Here is a 16401-nt window from a genome sequence, read left to right on the forward strand (position 1 = left end):
GTCCCCTCGCCTGTATCAGTGGCCCTTCCTCCCCACCTGTAAACACAGGGAATTACTCGCGACAGGTCCTGCCTCCGCAGGAGAGACTCAAAGGGGAGAGCTTTGTCCTGGAGTCAGGTCACAGCCCAGTGCCCCTGTGAGCAGCTGCAGGGGTCTCAGACTTGTTGCAACAGCCACTGCTTCTCCCCGAGTGCTCTGAGAGCTGGGGGTGGGTGGAAACCGTGTCTCAGGGTGAAGGGACCGCTGGTGGGCTCCGTGGGCAGAGGCACTATGGGGTCTATCAAGACCCTCTAGTCTCCATATCTGAGGGTGGCCCAGCTGCAGCAGGGGTGGTGCCTGGGGTCCCGCCTGGCTCCGTGGCTTTCCTGTCTTCCTGGGATGGTTTCCGCACTTTCTTGCCCTCATGCAAGAGAGAACTGGCATGGGAGGTGGGCTCCGCCCCCGAGTGCTTCAGCTCACGCAGACTTCCTTGTGGCACAGCTGCACCAGGAGCTGTGTACATGGCAGGCATCCTCTGCGTGGTGGGCGCCTTCTGCGTGGCGGGCGTCCTCTGGAGGAGGGGCCTCGCCTCTGGGCCACTTCATGCCTCAGAACAGTGGGCTGAGCATCAAAGTGAGGTGGGCCAGGGTCTCCATGGCTCCTGATGAAGGGGACCCAGGTCCCCCGTGGCTTCACATTGAGGACAAAGCTCTTCCCTCAGACACGCAGCTGACTGGCTCATCGACACTGGCTGGGCTCTAACTTGCAGACCAAGGGACCTGGACCTGGACAAACGCCCTGGGCTCGCTTGCTGCCTGGAAGTGAATTCCCATGAGTTTGAGGGCAGCTGTTTCCTCCCCAAGCACCTGGAAAAGGCTGTCCCAAGCTGACAGTCGGGCCGCCGCAGAGCCTAGGGGACCCACGCTGCGGGCAGGGGCACTGACTTTCTGACCAATGCCAGCCGGGAGAGCCTGGGCTTCCGGGATCTAAGGCCTGTTCTCAGAGGCTTGTCTGTCTGAAAACACCTGAACTGCTCCTTCCCCCGGCTCTGGGTGTCCTTGAGGCCTTGGCTGCTGGGGCCTGGAGCAGCCCAGGTGGGGGCAGAGCCAAGGGGTGGCAGCCAGGCCGTGTAGGGGCCAGGATTTGGGGCACATGCTGTCAGGTCACCAGACACCATGAAGACCCCAAGAATCACCAGGCCTTGGCAGCTTAGTCGGGCGAGGGGAATTAAGAGGAGGGCAGTTCATCTCCGAAGCACAGGTCTGCTGTAGACTCTCAGCCGCCTATCTCTCTGACGGGATTGGTTTGCCTTCCAGAAGTTGCTGCCCTAGTCACCATACCATGTAAATTCCTCTTGCTGTGATCACGGTTTTAACTTAGAAATCAGACAGAGCAGATTTTGGACTTACTGTATTTTTATTTTTATTTTTTGGCAAACGACGTGCACTTCAATAGAAACCTTCGGCGTGAACCCAGAAAGGCGTGTTCACGGTAAGCACAGGGGCTGGTTCTGTTACCGGGAGATCGCTTGAGCTGAACTGTGCGGTTGGGAAGAGGAATTACTAATGCTCTTTGTAGCAGAGTTTTATTTTGCACCCCCACAACCCAGGAGATCCTTTGAAGATCACAGGAGAGCACTGTCCTGTGTGATTGTCCCAGGGGCTGTGTGACGGGCTGTGCGGGGATCTGAGACACCCTCGCCCTGGAGGCTGATGCGCTTCAGCCGCGAGGAGCACCCCGGCTCCTGCCCCAGCTCTGCCAAAAACGCCGGAGGTCGGAGGCACAAAGCGCTTTCAGGGACTCCGGTCTGGGCCTCGGCCTCACAGGGGGCTGCAGCTGGGGGCCAGAGATCAGGATGCCATAGATATCATTTTCTAAAAATTCCCACGACGCCTCCGTGCCGGAGTCAGAGGTCTGCCCCTTCCGGGTGGAGCATGTCGCCCTGAAGCCGATGGGCCCTGAAAGAAGCCCCTTTTCCTCTGAGCTACCCGAGCTGCCCCCACACTGATGCAATAAAGCAATTAGGATAATTACTCTCGTTCTGGAGTGTGGCTGCCCAGGACCAGGGCGGGCCTGTCAGGGAAACGGCAGCACATCTGCCTGATCCTGGCCTCACAGGGCTGCATGCCGATACCAATTCCATTACGTTTAATGTGATTTCATCAGTGGCTCTGATGCCAAGCAGCAGCCTGTGGACTTCAAAGTCAGGTCTTGATGTCGGCAGCACCGCTCCACGTCTGCCTTTCAGCGCCGCCCATGACCCACACCTCCCATGGGCTGCGGACCCTCTGGCAGGCTCGGGGGTGAAGCATGCTCGGCGTAAAGCGCTTTGCAGACAGTCCTGGGCCTGTGGGAAAAGAGCAGATGACGAAGGCGCAAACCTGTTGAGCCCCTGGCACCTTCCTTCCGACCCCACGAGGCTTGGGGTGGCAGCACACACGTGGGAGGCACACGCCCTGGACGCCGGATGTGCCGTGCCCGTGAGGGTCGGAGGCTCCACTGCACGATGCCGCACACTCGGGCCTGAATCCCACAAAAGGTGAGCAGGTCTGGGTGTAAAGAGAGATGTGGGGCTCAGCTCCGACACGCGTCCCAAATCCTGGCTTTCCTTGAGTAAAGAAGTCACTGCACCCGGCACTCCCCCGCACCCTTCTTCAAGGGTTTTGTCCATCTCATCTAAGTTGTCACACTGACTGGCCTAAGGCTTCTGTAACATCCCAGGCAGCTCTTCATGGTGCCATCTTAGTTACTGGAGTTTCCACGGTGCCTGCAATCACACAGCCTGGCTATGGCTTCCTGGCCTTTGCTCGATTCTGACCCCAAAATGGTTCACACTGTGGGCTTACGTATTCCACATTTCAGCCGTTGCTTTTTCTTCTTGTGTTAATGAGGACCAAGACAGTTTGCACACAAGGAGCATCAGAAGGCCCTACCTCTGGGTGCTGTAGCCAGGTGTGAGCCCTCCAGAGCCATGAGCCACACAGGTGTGAGCCTCGCAGAGCCGTAAGCTGCACAGGTGTGAGTTTGGACATCTTATTTTATTTATTTTATTATTTTCTTTTCTTTTTTCTTTTCTTTTATTTTTTTGAGCTGGAGTCTCACTCTGTTGCCCAGGCTGGAGTGCAATGGCACGATCTTGGCTCACTGCAACCTCCGCCTCCCAGGTTCAAGCAATTCTCCTGCCTCAGCCTCCTGAATAACTGGAATTACAGGCGCCCGCCAGCATACCTGCTAATTTTTATGTGTGTGTGTGTGTGTGTGTGTGTGTGTGTGTGTGTGTGTGTGTGTGTGTTTTAGTACAGACGGGATTTCACCATGTTGGCCAGGCTGGTCTCGAACTCCTGACCTCAGGTGATCTGCCCATCTCAGCCTCCCAAAGTGCTGGGATTACAGGTGTGAGCCACTGCACCCGGCCAGACATCACGTTTTAACTTTGCCAGCTTTTGGAATTATGAGTTCTCTGGCTTCTCTTTATCCTCCCGTGGGCCTGCGATGCCTCTGCCAGGCAAACACTCACACCAAAGTGGGCTCCAGCAGGAATGGGGAGACAGTGGCGGTGAGCATCTGCACACCTGCAGCCACCCCAGGACAGCCATGCAGACGTCCTCTCCAGACAGAAGCCAGGTAGGGAGTCGGGGGAGGGTTGGGAGGGGGAAGGTACAGAAAACAGATTTCCAGCTTTTCAATTCTCCAGGGGTCAAACTAAAAATCAAGTGGTCTCCTCTACTGATATTGTCCAGGTCTGAGAATTCCCAGCAACAAGGACCCTGGCTCAATTCCCAGAACATACGCAACCGAGACCTCTGCACCCCAACACAGCCCAGTTCATCAGGAGGAAGTGATCAACGGTGGTTTGGCTCCAGGGGGCGTCACGGAAAACCCACCCTCTGCCCCTGTGCAGGTGGCACAGAGGTGCCGGGACACAGAGCTGTGGGGCTCCACCTACAGGGATCTGCTGCGTGCTGGCCACAGAGTAGGCAGACCCACCCCCGCCCTGAGATGCCGATGCTCTGTCCTCACAAAACCAGGATGGGGAAAGAAAGGGGAAATTATTTTTTAAAATAGCGTCATTAAAGGCCATCTGTTGCCTTCAACGCTGTGACTTGATGGCCACGCCATTGATCACGTCCTGAGTGAAAGAGACCTTCACTTTGACACGACTGAAATAAACTCATTTAAAGCAGAAAACCTGGCCGAAACACGGGGGAAATGCTCCAGGGCTCCAGGAGAAGCCGTCTGTGCGTGCAGCCCCGGTGGGATGTAGGCTGGAGACAGCCCTGAGTCAGGAAGTCCGGCGAGGCCATCTGGGTCCACGTGGCTTTTTGGTGCTGTCCCCGCAGCTTGAGGCAAGGAAGGTGGAGAGGCGCCGCCTGCCCCGCCTGTGTCTGCAAGGAACCGTGCTGACTCCATGATGGCTCTGGCCCAGCCCCAGGAAGCCATGACCCGCACAACCTGAGGATCCACGAAGCCCAGCCAGGGCCGGCCCCGAACCGGGTGGAGAGCAGTGGGGGGTGGGGTGGGGGTGGTTCTTGTTTCAGTGCAGTCAGGTGGCAGCCAACCCACACATACAGCCAGCCTGGCCACCAGCACTGGGGCCCTGTCTGTTGCCCCAACCCGCTGACACCCTGTGGCAGCGGCAAGCTCAGCTATCCTGTGCATGGCACGGACATGGGTTGGGCTGAGGATGCCCACTGCCTGCCGCTCCAGGGCCTGAGGGGAGCTCTGGGAGCCAGGCTTGCTCTGCCACACGCCTGGGGTGGACAGCCCTGGGCCAGCGCAGCAGCCGGAGTGAGACGGAGCAAGTACAGTGAGTGCCAGGCTCTGCTCCAGCCCCCGCAGGCCGATGCGTCTGGCCTGGCATTCTCCCTGACTTGTCAGCTTCCCAGCTCAGAGCCCTCACCTCACCTCACACTCCTGGACATCAAGGGGCACCAAGAAGCCACTGAGGGAACACAGCGTCCCCCGCCTTGCTGGAGCCCACGAGAGGATGCGGCTTCCTGCAGCTGCGCCCTGGGGGCTGCCTGTTTCAGGCTCTGGCTCTGGCTGGGCTGATTGTCTTTCCAGGGCTCAAAGCACATGGTTTTCATCCGGTGCTCAACCCAGGGAAGGCCGAGGACAGTCTGGCTCAGTGTGGTGACCTCTGCACTGCCTGTGGGGACGCCCGTCTCTGCTGCGTGGTGGTGACCTCTGCATCGCCCACAGGACGCCTGTCTCTGCTGTGTGGGGTGACCTCTGCACTGCCTGTGGGGACGCCCGTCTCTGCTGCGTGGTGGTGACCTCTGCACTGCCCACAGGACGCCTGTCTCTGCTGCGTGGTGGTGACCTCTGCACTGCCCACAGGACTCCTGTCTCTGCTGTGTGGTGGTGACCTCTGCACTGCCTGTGGGGACGCCCGTCTCTGCTGCGTGGTGGTGACCTCTGCACTGCCCACAGGACGCCTGTCTCTGCTGCGTGGTGGTGACCTCTGCACTGCCCACAGGATGCCTGTCTCTGCTGTGTGGTGGTGACCTCTGCACTGCCCGTGGGGACGCCTGTCTCTGCTGCGTGGTGGTGACCTCTGCACTGCCTGTGGGGACGCCTGTCTCTGCTGTGTGGTGGTGACCTCTGCACTGCCTGTGGGGACGCCCGTCTCTGCTGCGTGGTGGTGACCTCTGCACTGCCCACAGGACTCCTGTCTCTGCTGTGTGGTGGTGACCTCTGCACTGCCTGTGGGGACGCCCGTCTCTGCTGCGTGGTGGTGACCTCTGCACTGCCCACAGGACGCCTGTCTCTGCTGCGTGGTGGTGACCTCTGCACTGCCCACAGGACGCCTGTCTCTGCTGCGTGGTGGTGACCTCTGCACTGCCCACAGGACTCCTGTCTCTGCTGTGTGGTGGTGACCTCTGCACTGCCTGTGGGGACGCCCGTCTCTGCTGCGTGGTGGTGACCTCTGCACTGCCCACAGGACGCCTGTCTCTGCTGCGTGGTGGTGACCTCTGCACTGCCCACAGGACGCCTGTCTCTGCTGTGTGGTGGTGACCTCTGCACTGCCCGTGGGGACGCCTGTCTCTGCTGCGTGGTGGTGACCTCTGCACTGCCCGTGGGGACGCCTGTCTCTGCTGTGTGGTGGTGACCTCTGCACTGCCTGTGGGGACGCCCGTCTCTGCTGCGTGGTGGTGACCTCTGCATCGCCCACAGGACGCCTGTCTCTGCTGCGTGGTGGTGACCTCTGCATCGCCCACAGGACGCCTGTCTCTGCTGCGTGGTGGTGACCTCTGCATCGCCCACAGGACGCCTATCTCTGCTGTGTGGTGGTGACCTTTGCACTGCCCGTGGGGACGCCTGTCTCTGCTGCGTGGTGGTGACCTCTGCACTGCCTGTGGGGACGCCCGTCTCTGCTGTGTGGTGGTGACCTCTGCATCGCCCACAGGACGCCTGTCTCTGCTGCGTGGGGTGACCTCTGCATCGCCCACAGGACGCCTGTCTCTGCTGCGTGGTGGTGACCTCTGCACTGCCCACAGGACGCCTGTCTCTGCTGTGTGGTGGTGACCTCTGCACTGCCCACAGGACGCCTGTCTCTGCTGTGTGGTGGTGACCTTTGCACTGCCCGTGGGGACGCCTGTCTCTGCTGCGTGGTGGTGACCTCTGCACTGCCTGTGGGGACGCCTGTCTCTGCTGTGTGGTGGTGACCTCTGCACTGCCTGTGGGGACGCCTGTCTCTGCTGCGTGGTGGTGACCTCTGCATCGCCCACAGGACGCCTGTCTCTGCTGCGTGGTGGTGACCTCTGCATCGCCCACAGGACGCCTGTCTCTGCTGCGTCGTGGTGACCTCTGCATCGCCCACAGGACGCCTGTCTCTGATGTGTGGTGGTGACCTCTGCACTGCCTGTGGGGACGCCTGTCTCTGCTGCGTGGTGGTGACCTCTGCATCGCCCACAGGACGCCTGTCTCTGCTGCGTGGGGTGACCTCTGCATCGCCCACAGGACGCCTGTCTCTGCTGCGTGGTGGTGACCTCTGCACTGCCTGTGGGGACGCCCGTCTCTGCTGCGTGGTGGTGACCTCTGCACCGCCCACAGGACGCCTGTCTCTGCTGCGTGGTGGTGACCTCTGCATCGCCCACAGGACGCCTATCTCTGCTGTGTGGTGGTGACCTTTGCACTGCCCGTGGGGACGCCTGTCTCTGCTGCGTGGTGGTGACCTCTGCACTGCCTGTGGGGACGCCCGTCTCTGCTGTGTGGTGGTGACCTCTGCATCGCCCACAGGACGCCTGTCTCTGCTGCGTGGGGTGACCTCTGCATCGCCCACAGGACGCCTGTCTCTGCTGCGTGGTGGTGACCTCTGCACCGCCCACAGGACGCCTGTCTCTGCTGTGTGGTGGTGACCTCTGCACTGCCCGTGGGGACGCCTGTCTCTGCTGCGTGGTGGTGACCTCTGCACTGCCTGTGGGGACGGCCGTCTCTGCTGCGTGGTGGTGACCTCTGCATCGCCCACAGGACGCCTGTCTCTGCTGCGTGGGGTGACCTCTGCATCGCCCACAGGACGCCTGTCTCTGCTGCGTGGTGGTGACCTCTGCACCGCCCACAGGACGCCTGTCTCTGCTGTGTGGTGGTGACCTCTGCACTGCCCGTGGGGACGCCTGTCTCTGCTGCGTGGTGGTGACCTCTGCACTGCCTGTGAGGACGCCTGTCTCTGCTGCGTGGTGGTGACCTCTGCACTGCCCACAGGACGCCTGTCTCTGCTGCGTGGTGGTGACCTCTGCACCGCCCACAGGACACCTGTCTCTGCTGCGTGGTGGTGACCTCTGCACCGCCCACAGGATGCCTGTCTCTGCTGCATGGTGGTGACCTCTGCACTGCCCGTGGGGACGCCTGTCTCTGCTGCGTGGTGGTGACCTCTGCACTGCCCACAGGACGCCCGTCTCTGCTGCGTGGTGGTGAACTCTGCACTGCCCACAGGACGCCCGTCTCTGCTGTGTGGTGGTGACTTCTGCACTGCCGTTCTTGTGAGGAGGAAGTATCTCAGTTTAATTTCAGCTGTTCTTGGGGGGAGGAATTGTCTCAATGTAGATACGCTCAGCATTTCCCTAATAGCCAGTGCATCTGAGGGATTTTTCAAGTGCCGTGAGAGCCATTTGCATGTTTCCTTTTGTGAAGTGCCTGCTAAAATCCTTTCCCTCTTTAAAAAATCAAATTATCTTTATTATTGAACTTTATGAATTCTTTATGTATTCCAGATACAGGTTCCTTGTCAGGCATAATGGCATTGTGAATATTTTCTCCTGATCTGTGCCTTGTCATTTTCTCGGTGGTGTCTTTTGAAGAACAGAAGACTTTAATTTTGAGGAAGTCCAATGTATGTGTTTGTTTCTTTTTCTTTCAGGGTCTCACTATGTTGCCCAGTCTGGGCTTGAACTCCTGAGCTCAAGGGACGCTCCTGCCTCAGCCTCCTAACATGCTGGTGTTAAAGGTGTGAGCCACTGCACCCAGCCATTTTCTTCTTTTATGGTTAATTTTTTTGTGTGTCCTAAGAGACTTTTGCCTATCATAACATTACAAAATATTCTATGTTACCTTCAAGAAGTGTTAATGGTTTTAGCTTTTATGTTTGCAATCCATCTCAAATTAACGTTTGTGTGTGGTGACGGAGGGGGGTTCACTTATCCAGGTGCATATCCAGAACTTCCAGCACCAACTGGTGCAAAGGCTTCTTTCTCTCAGTTGAATTGACTTGGTGGCTTGTCCAGGAATCATTTGATCCTGACTTTGGTGTGGGACTATTTCTTGGTTCTCTATTTTGCGGATGCAGCTATCTGTCCTCACGCCTTGTGATGGTTAATACTGAGTGTCAGCTTGATTGGGTTGAAGGATGCAAAGTACTGATCCTGGGTGTGTCTGTGAGGGTGTTGCCAGAGGAGATTCCTGTTTGGGTCAGGGGGCTGGGGAAGGCGGACCCAAGCTTAATCTGGTGGGCACCATCTCATCAGCCGCCAGAGAATATAAAGCAGGCAGAAAAAGGAGAAGAGGGGAGACGGGCCTACCCTCCCAGCCCGCATCTTTCTTCTGTGCTGGACGCCTCCTGCCCTCAAACATGGGACTCCAGGTTCTTCCGTTCTGAGACTCGGGACCGGCTCTCCTTGCTCCTCAGCTTGCGGGCAACCTATCGTGGGGACTTGTGATCGTGGAGTTAATACTCAATAAACCCCTTTATATATATATTTCTCCTGTTAGTTCTGTCCCTCGAGGGAACCCTCCACACACCTGTGTCACACTGTCTTCATTACGATCATTTTTCAGTAAATCCTGGAATCAAGTAGTGTGACTCCTCCTGCATCTTTATTCTTCTTCAAAATTGTTTTGGCTATGTAGGTCCTTGGCATTTCCATATACATCTAAGAGTCAGTTTATCTGTTTCTGGAAAAAACAATCCTTCTGGGATTGCTTGGGATGTCATGGAATCTATAGCTCAAATTGGTGACGATGGACAGTTTAACAATATGAAGACTGATTCATGAACATGGTATACCTCTCCATTTACTGAAGTGTTCCTTACTTTCAGCAATGTGTGCTATCTTTCGAGGCATACAGGCTGCATTTCTTTTGTTAAAATTTCCTATTTTATGGTTCTGAATGTTATTATAAATGCTATACTTAACATTTTCATTTTGACATTTTCTCCCAGCATATAGAAATATAACTGATTTGCCAGGTGTGGTGGCTCACGCCTGTAATCCCAGCACTTTGGGAGGCTGAGGCAGGTGGATCACAAGGTCAGGAGGTCGAGACCATCCCGGCTAACACGGTGAAACCTAGTCTCTACTAAAAATACAAAAAATCAGCCAGGCGTGATGGCAGGTTCCTGTAGTCCCAGCTACTCGGGAGGCTGAGGCAGGAGAATGGCGTGAACCCAGGAGGCAGAGCTTGCAGTGAGCCGAGATCGTGCCACTACACTCCAGCCTGGGTGACAAGGCGAGACTCCATCTCAAAAAGAAAAAAAAAAAAGAAATACAACTGATTTTGTGTGGTGGCCTTGAGGCCTGCAGCTGACGTCCAGCTCCGGCGGGCACAGAGGCTGTGGCTTCTCCTTCCCTTCTGCTTGGCACCCTCATCGGGAGGGCCACGGGGCTCCCCCTGAGATGGCTCTGAGGAACCCAGTGGTTAGGGCATCTGAAACCCTCCAGGCCACAGAACCACAGGTGCTGGTTTCTGAGTGAATCCGCCAAGCTGACGGTGCGGCGCTGGTTGTGACCCAAGTGCGCGAGCGGGGGAAGGGGTGTGCGTGCCTTCCTAGCCGGCTCTGTCCACAGGGTGGTTCATCAGCAGGTGGACACTCTGCTGCTGTCACTTTCTTATCAACTCACCCTCTGCTTTCCACCAAAGGAACATTAATCACACCCAACACAGGAGTCTATCAAGTAATTATACCTTTTAGTGCACCTGATAATTTCTTCTCCAGCTGGCACTAGCAATCAATCAAAATGCCATAAAAGGTGCTTCCCATGAGCAGATGAGTCCCTGCATCCACTAGGCATTGTGGGAGCTGTTCAACTCTTGGCACCAGGAGCTTTGCATACAACCGCCTGGCGGCTCCTCTGCGGGGCCGGCTCCTCTCCCTGGAGCTCTGCTTCTCTCCCAGGGCTTCGGCCTGACAGCGCTTCCCCCACCCGGCTGCTGTCCACAGAGTCCTTGGAAATGCTGCATCCACATCTGTGCATATTCAAGCCAGCAGAGGGTGGAACCTAAAACTAAGCCCTGGAAAGATCAGGACCCACAGCCTGTGAGAATATCTGTATTCTGGCTGGAGACAATGAAGAATTTCAATGTTCCATTAAAAGGAGCCATGGAAACATCTCTAGTATTTCTAATTAAATGGAAAAGTAAACCCGGAGACAGCATCCCACTTTCCTGCGCGATCTGGATGCCGGGTTGCAGCTATGCCCTCCTCCAACAAGCCATGGCCAACTGTCTGCAGCCACTCACGCACCCCTCAGCCAGGACCCTGCCCGACACCACGTCCAGAAAGCTCTCCAAAGACCCCACCCACCCATGTTTCCCTCCCGCTGTGCCATGGCCCCGAGCACACCCGACCAGGCAAGGAGGCAGAGATGGGAAGGCCCTGGCCCTTGACAAGCCCTGGGGGCCTGCTCGTGCCCTCGAGGGGATGGGGCAGGTCAGGCCCTGCTGCCTCCAGCTGCTTCCAGTGCCCTCCCCAGACACCTGGCCTCGTGGACAGAGGCTGAGCTCACCAGCCCAGAGGTCACCAGGCTGCAGCATGCGGGAGCGGCTCCTGGGAGGCGGAGCCAGCCCGCAGGGTTCACACAGTAAAAACAGTGAGGACCTAGAGTAAGCACCCAAGACTCCCCACAGCCCCAGAAAACCAACCTGTCAGGGATGCCCCGGTGCCCGCCATCCACAGGTATGCAGTGACATTGCGGACGGGTGCCCACCACCCCCGTGCGGCTGGGGCAGGAACACCTGGGTTGAAGCTGGCATGCCACAGAGGGCAGAGAGGAAAGCTGGAGGCTCCCTGCCTGGGACAACCCTCTGGACACCTTGTCCTGGGGGGTGAGAGGGGCCCTGGTGTTGAGGTCCCTCTCTGTGGGTCTCCTGCTAGTGCAGCTGAGCCTGCAGTGACCCCTCCCAACCCCGGCAAGTGCTCATCATGAGAGGCCATGTAACCCTCCCAGAAAAGGAATAAAGGGAATTAGGTGCTCGCATACCACCAGGGAGCACCTCAAGAAATGGCCAGTTCACTCCATGCATGGCTGACGTTTCTGCAGCACTGGCTAAGGGCTGGCGCAAGGTGAGACGCAGGGATGTGAGTGAGGGGGAGGGAAAAGGAGGGCGCTGGGGAAGATGGGAGCCACAGGGGGACAGAGCCCCGAGCTGAACGAGATGGAAAGAAGAGCTATGCCCAGACATGGACGTTACGATGCAGGGAACACACGGTGAGGAATGGGCCCAGACAGCCCCTCACAGTGCACCAAAGCACACTAAACACTACACCAAGCCACGCCACACAGAACCACGCTATGCGCTACAGCGAGCCACGCCACACAGAACCACGCTATGCGCTATACTGAGCCACGCTACACAGAGCCACGCTACACGCTATACCAAGCCACGCTATGCAGAACCATGCTACACGCTACAGCAAGCCACGCTACACACTACACTGAACCATGCTACACGCTACACCGAGCCACACTTCATGCTACATGATACCCCAAACCACGTGGAGTCATCGCTTCCTGAGTCCGTGGCCAGTGCTGTCTTAGGACTGGGTGTCCCAAGTGTCCGCAGCTGCCCCGGGGGGACAGGGTGGGAGGAGCCGCCCAGCACTCGGGCCCCTGCCTGCGGCATGACCTGAAGCTGAACACAGGCACGGCAGCCACGCCTCGAGGCCAGGGAGAGAAGAGGAACGTTCCGGACTGAAGGAGTGGCCGAGACGGCGGCACACTCTGGCCGTGGCCCTGGCGTGAGCGCGCTGTCGGGTGGGGCAGGCACAAGTTCCTTGGGGCAGTGCCCAACTCTTCGTACGTCTTCAGCGAATCCTCCACGAAACACTTAAGCAAACAGATGCTCAGAGAGCATATCTGTACGACATGGTTTCCAACACAAAAACATGAAGATTTTATCATTCCAGCCCAAAATGAAAATCTTACTACCAAACCACGTGAAGCGGAAGAGCAGGTGAGAGCTGCGTAGCTCTGGTCAGTGTGGCAGACGTCAAAAGGACCACGTCGCTCCTGCTTTTAAAGTGCACATCGTGTTTTTGTGAACTCAGAGGTCACATTACTGAAGCTGAACAGGGGGTTGGCATGTGATTCACCGTTTGCAGGGCAGACGCAGATGAGCAGCCCCTGGCTGGGCAGGAAGCACGCACAGCCCGCCGCCCCCACACCAGGGCCCAGGAGGGAACCCGCCACCCCCACCCCGGGGCTCAGCAGGGAACCTGGACAGTCTGGTCGTCCTGAGAGACGTCAAAGCCAAGCAGGCAAAGCACCCGGGAGGAAGGACGCAGCCAAGAGACCATGAGGAGGCCGCGCTTTCCCTGAGCGTCAGGACGGCGGGTCTCATACCTCCCTCACCCTTGAATATGTCTGCCAACGCGCCCACCATGGCCTGAGACTCTGTCATTTAAAAACGAGCTCTGAAATATTTCGGACACTCCGGGAAGCAAAGGAGGGCTGGTGGGGGAAGCTCAGGAGGGCTGGTGGGGGAAGCAGGGCGTCCAGTGCTCCTCTCTGAGTCTCCTCCTGAAACAGACTCAGAGGTGTGGTTCTGTCCCAGAAACAGGGATCATGAGCATGCCCGGGAAAAGCCAGCCGGTCCCCAGCATTCAAACACAGGCCCCTGAAGGGGCAGAAGAGTGCGCAGCTGGCCAGGCCAGGCCGACAGGAGGACAGAGGGCGGCGGGGGAGGAAGGAAACAGCCTCACCTCTCCTAGAAGCCTCACAGGTTAGAAGAGCCACCGTTATTCCCCAAACACCACGCAGAAGAGCTCCACTTACTGCTCCAAGCATGATCCTGAAGATCAGCCACCGGAAGCCCCACAGGACAATCCGGGATGTGGGGGTATGCTGGGGCAGCCTTGACAGCGTCCACAGAGGGCACAGGAAGATCCCCAGGAACCCCGTCTCCAGAAGCTGGGACTCCCATCCTAAAACAACGAGACATACCAAAGGTGAGTTAATGGAAGCCACACATTTCACAAAGAAATCATTTCAGAAACTCAGTTTAATGGAAACGGTCCTTGAGACAGGGCTGATCTTGCTACTGAGAGACACCAGCCCGCACGTATTAGTCTCAACATCGACACGCAAGGTCAGGTCTGCAGGAGTGGGAGCTCTGGCGTGGGACCCAGGGCCTAGGTCGGGACTTCCTGTGACCTCGGCACCCTTCGCCCTGGAGGGAAAGGCCCCGCTCTGAGGTCCGCCACCTGCCACCCTGCAGGACGCTGCACGGACCTGACATCTGAGAATGCGCCCTGCACACATGCTGCCGGCAGACTTTGGGGGAAGCTTTTCCCCTCCCATAGGTTTGCATGAAAACAGCTTTCACCTTCTTCCCAGCCCAGAAACAGCATGGGGAGGCAGCACTGGGGAGGCAGCACTGGGGGGGCAGCACTGGGGGGGCAGCACTTGGGGGAGGCAGCACTGGGGGGGCAGCACTGGGGGGGCAGCACTGGGGGGGCAGCACTTGGGGGGGCAGCACTGGGGAGGCAGCAATGGGGGGGCAGCACTGGGGGGGCAGCACTGGGGGAGCAGCACTGGGGGAGCAGCACTGGGGAGGCAGCACTGGGGAGGCAGCCCAGCCTCCATGTGAGGCAGTGTCTCCCTCTGGCCCTGTCCTTCCCAGATGGGCATGGAAGCCAGGCAAGGATGCAGAGGCAGGTCATGGTGGGTCCACACGGAACCAACACCGGTCAGCCCCTCGCAGTCCCAGGATAAGGCAGCAGCTCCGCCACTGGATGCGGGGGACACGTGGGGGCCCAACGGATTCTTCGCACTGGAAACCCAGCATAAGAATGCGGATGCGGGTCGCCATTCCAGTGCTATTCTCAGAGGTGAGGCCACCGTGAATGTGGCTGCTGGAAACTGCCCACAGCTCGCGTCTGTCAATGGAAGGTCACATCCCAGGGCCCCAGAGACCCCACAGGCCGGGCTCCCTCCTGGGCTCTGAGGATGCTGGATGGGACAGAGGCCACCCGCTGCCCAGCATGACAACGATCACATGACTCACACCACCACAGTGTCTATGCGCCACAGAGCGGATGGGAGAGTGCGGAGGGGATGCAGACAGAGACTCGCAGGGGCAGCATCTACACACCACAGAGCAGATGGGAGAGTGCGGAGGGGAAGCGGACGGAGGCTTGTGGGGGCAGTGTCTACCTGCCACAGAGAGGACGGGAGAGTGCAGAGGGGAAGCAGACGGAGGCTCGCGGGGAGCTTCCTCCAACCATTGGTGCAACTCATCTCTACCTGAGATACTACGGTAAAGTCAAAAGCCCGTGAAGAGGCTGCTACAGCAGCACTGGACTGTAACCCAAAGTACAAAATAAACGCCTGCAAGTCCACACTGATGTGCGCCAATTACTGAATAAGCAGATCGGCGTGAGTGGAGGCAGCGCGACCCTGGTCTCTGAATGGACAGACGGTCAGTCCTTATGCTGCCCCGGCTTATGGAGGGCACAGGCTGCCAAGCTGACGCCTGCTGGTCTCTCAGCGGGACCCCCTCCACCTCGCTCACGCCCCAGGCTCGCTGGGCCCCATCTTCCCCACGGAAGCCAGAGCCGCCTGGCTGGCTGGGCCTTGCGGACACCCTGGGAAGAAAAGGGTTGCCCTGGGCCCACCTGCTTCTGTTTTCTTTGCTTGGGTCTTGAGGAATTCCAGCAGCTGCGCGGCGTGCACAAGGGCTGCCATTGTTCTCCGCCTCAGCGTGGCGGACAACGCGTCCCCAGGAAAGTCAATAAGCAGCACGCTGCCAGGGCGGCCTCAGCGCCAAGGTCAGGGCCAGGGCTCTCCAGACAGCTCTCACCCAGCAAACACCAGCGCTGCCTGAAGCGAGCCCCAGGCACCCGAACGAGGCGGCAACACGCAGGGCCACAGCACACGCTGCCACTGCCGGGGAGAGGAGCCGTCCTCGCCCCCGCCTCAGTGCCTTTCCCGTTGCGCAGCTGCACGCGCTGCCTGCTGGGCGCCAGCATCTGCACGCCCTGCTCTTCCCCAGGGACCTCCCTTCCCTTTAGCCAGGGGGACGGCTCCGGGAGGGCCCCTGCTCCACTCCACGGCTCCGGCGTCGTTTCCACCTCGTGCTGTGCTGGGCCTTCCGGGAGACTGAGCACACCCTGTGAGGAGCCTGACGCGTTCTGCCTGGGTAACGGGGCAGTAGCTCTTGTGGGGAACATTCACTTCCACGGCCGCTGCTCTCCTTCCTGCGACACAGACAGCGTTGGCCCAATCAGCGGAGAAGCTGCATGTGCACGGTCCAGGGAGATGCTCCTGAGCCCTGCCCGCTGGACAGGGTGCGACACCCAACTCCTGCCCTGGCGCCTCGCCCGGTGCACCCATGTTAATGGCTCATTGCCGGCTGGATGCCCCGATGCTGGTGCGGAGGAAATGCAGGTGCCCCAGCACCCAGGCACAGCTGGGCACTGGTGCTTCTCAGCTGCCCTCCCCCTCAGGATTCATGCAGATCCACAGCCAGGCTGGTGCCCAAGGCAGGAGCCTGTGGCCTGCAGGCCCAGCCAGCGCTGCAGGTAACTGTACTGTGCCATTCACAGGCGTCTCGGGGCATCAGAAAAGGCAGAAACAAGGACGCAGCCTCATAACTGCCTTGCTGGAGACAGTTTAGGGTTTGAAGGCTCTGGATGTCAGGTCTGCAGCCACCGGAGGCGTGGGGCACACAGAAGAGAGGCTTCGCCATGGGGCAGCCCGAGGCACA

The 16401-nt window shown here is 58.6% G+C and overlaps 3 protein-coding genes across 9 annotated transcripts in view, besides 2 other annotated features; all 3 read right to left on the reverse strand.

Annotated features, from left to right (window-relative positions):
* Nucleotides 1-16401, reverse strand: part of LMF1 (lipase maturation factor 1) — a 127980-nt gene that overhangs the window by 43828 nt on the left and 67751 nt on the right. For all 7 annotated transcript variants that reach the window (NR_147885.2, NM_001352019.2, NM_001352017.2 and 4 more), the window contains one exon: nt 13470-13618. Coding sequence is in view for 6 of the 7 variants with exons in the window: in NM_001352019.2 (NP_001338948.1) it covers nt 13470-13618 (149 nt within the window). In the remaining variant the exon portion in view is untranslated. The remainder of the gene's footprint in view (nt 1-13469; nt 13619-16401) is intronic.
* On the reverse strand, nt 1551-13463 carry LOC124903619 (peptidyl-prolyl cis-trans isomerase CYP95-like). The gene has a single exon (XM_047434995.1). The coding sequence runs from the start codon at nt 8036-8038 to the stop codon at nt 6254-6256; it is 1785 nt and encodes a 594-aa protein (XP_047290951.1). The 5' UTR covers nt 8039-13463; the 3' UTR covers nt 1551-6253.
* Nucleotides 3895-4613: an enhancer, noted in NCBI's record as "H3K27ac-H3K4me1 hESC enhancer chr16:951356-952074 (GRCh37/hg19 assembly coordinates)". NCBI's record gives its function as "activates a minimal SCP1, AML or CMV promoter by ChIP-STARR-seq in naive H9 embryonic stem cells {active_cell/tissue: H9 hESC(naive)}" and the evidence as "EXISTENCE:reporter gene assay evidence [ECO:0000049][PMID:30033119]".
* Nucleotides 4614-5331: an enhancer, noted in NCBI's record as "H3K27ac-H3K4me1 hESC enhancer chr16:952075-952792 (GRCh37/hg19 assembly coordinates)". NCBI's record gives its function as "activates a minimal SCP1, AML or CMV promoter by ChIP-STARR-seq in naive H9 embryonic stem cells {active_cell/tissue: H9 hESC(naive)}" and the evidence as "EXISTENCE:reporter gene assay evidence [ECO:0000049][PMID:30033119]".
* On the reverse strand, nt 5105-6193 carry LOC107984876 (uncharacterized). The gene has a single exon (XM_047434996.1). The coding sequence runs from the start codon at nt 6191-6193 to the stop codon at nt 5105-5107; it is 1089 nt and encodes a 362-aa protein (XP_047290952.1).

Source organism: Homo sapiens, chromosome 16, assembly GCF_000001405.40.
Source record: "Homo sapiens chromosome 16, GRCh38.p14 Primary Assembly".
NCBI classification, from domain to species: Eukaryota; Metazoa; Chordata; class Mammalia; order Primates; family Hominidae; genus Homo; species Homo sapiens.

Coding starts and splice junctions, on each gene's coding strand:
- LOC107984876 (XM_047434996.1), bottom strand. CDS start 6,193: ATGCAGAGGTCACCACCACGCAGCAGAGACAGGCGTCCTGTGGGCGAT.
- LOC124903619 (XM_047434995.1), bottom strand. CDS start 8,038: ATGCTGAGCGTATCTACATTGAGACAATTCCTCCCCCCAAGAACAGCT.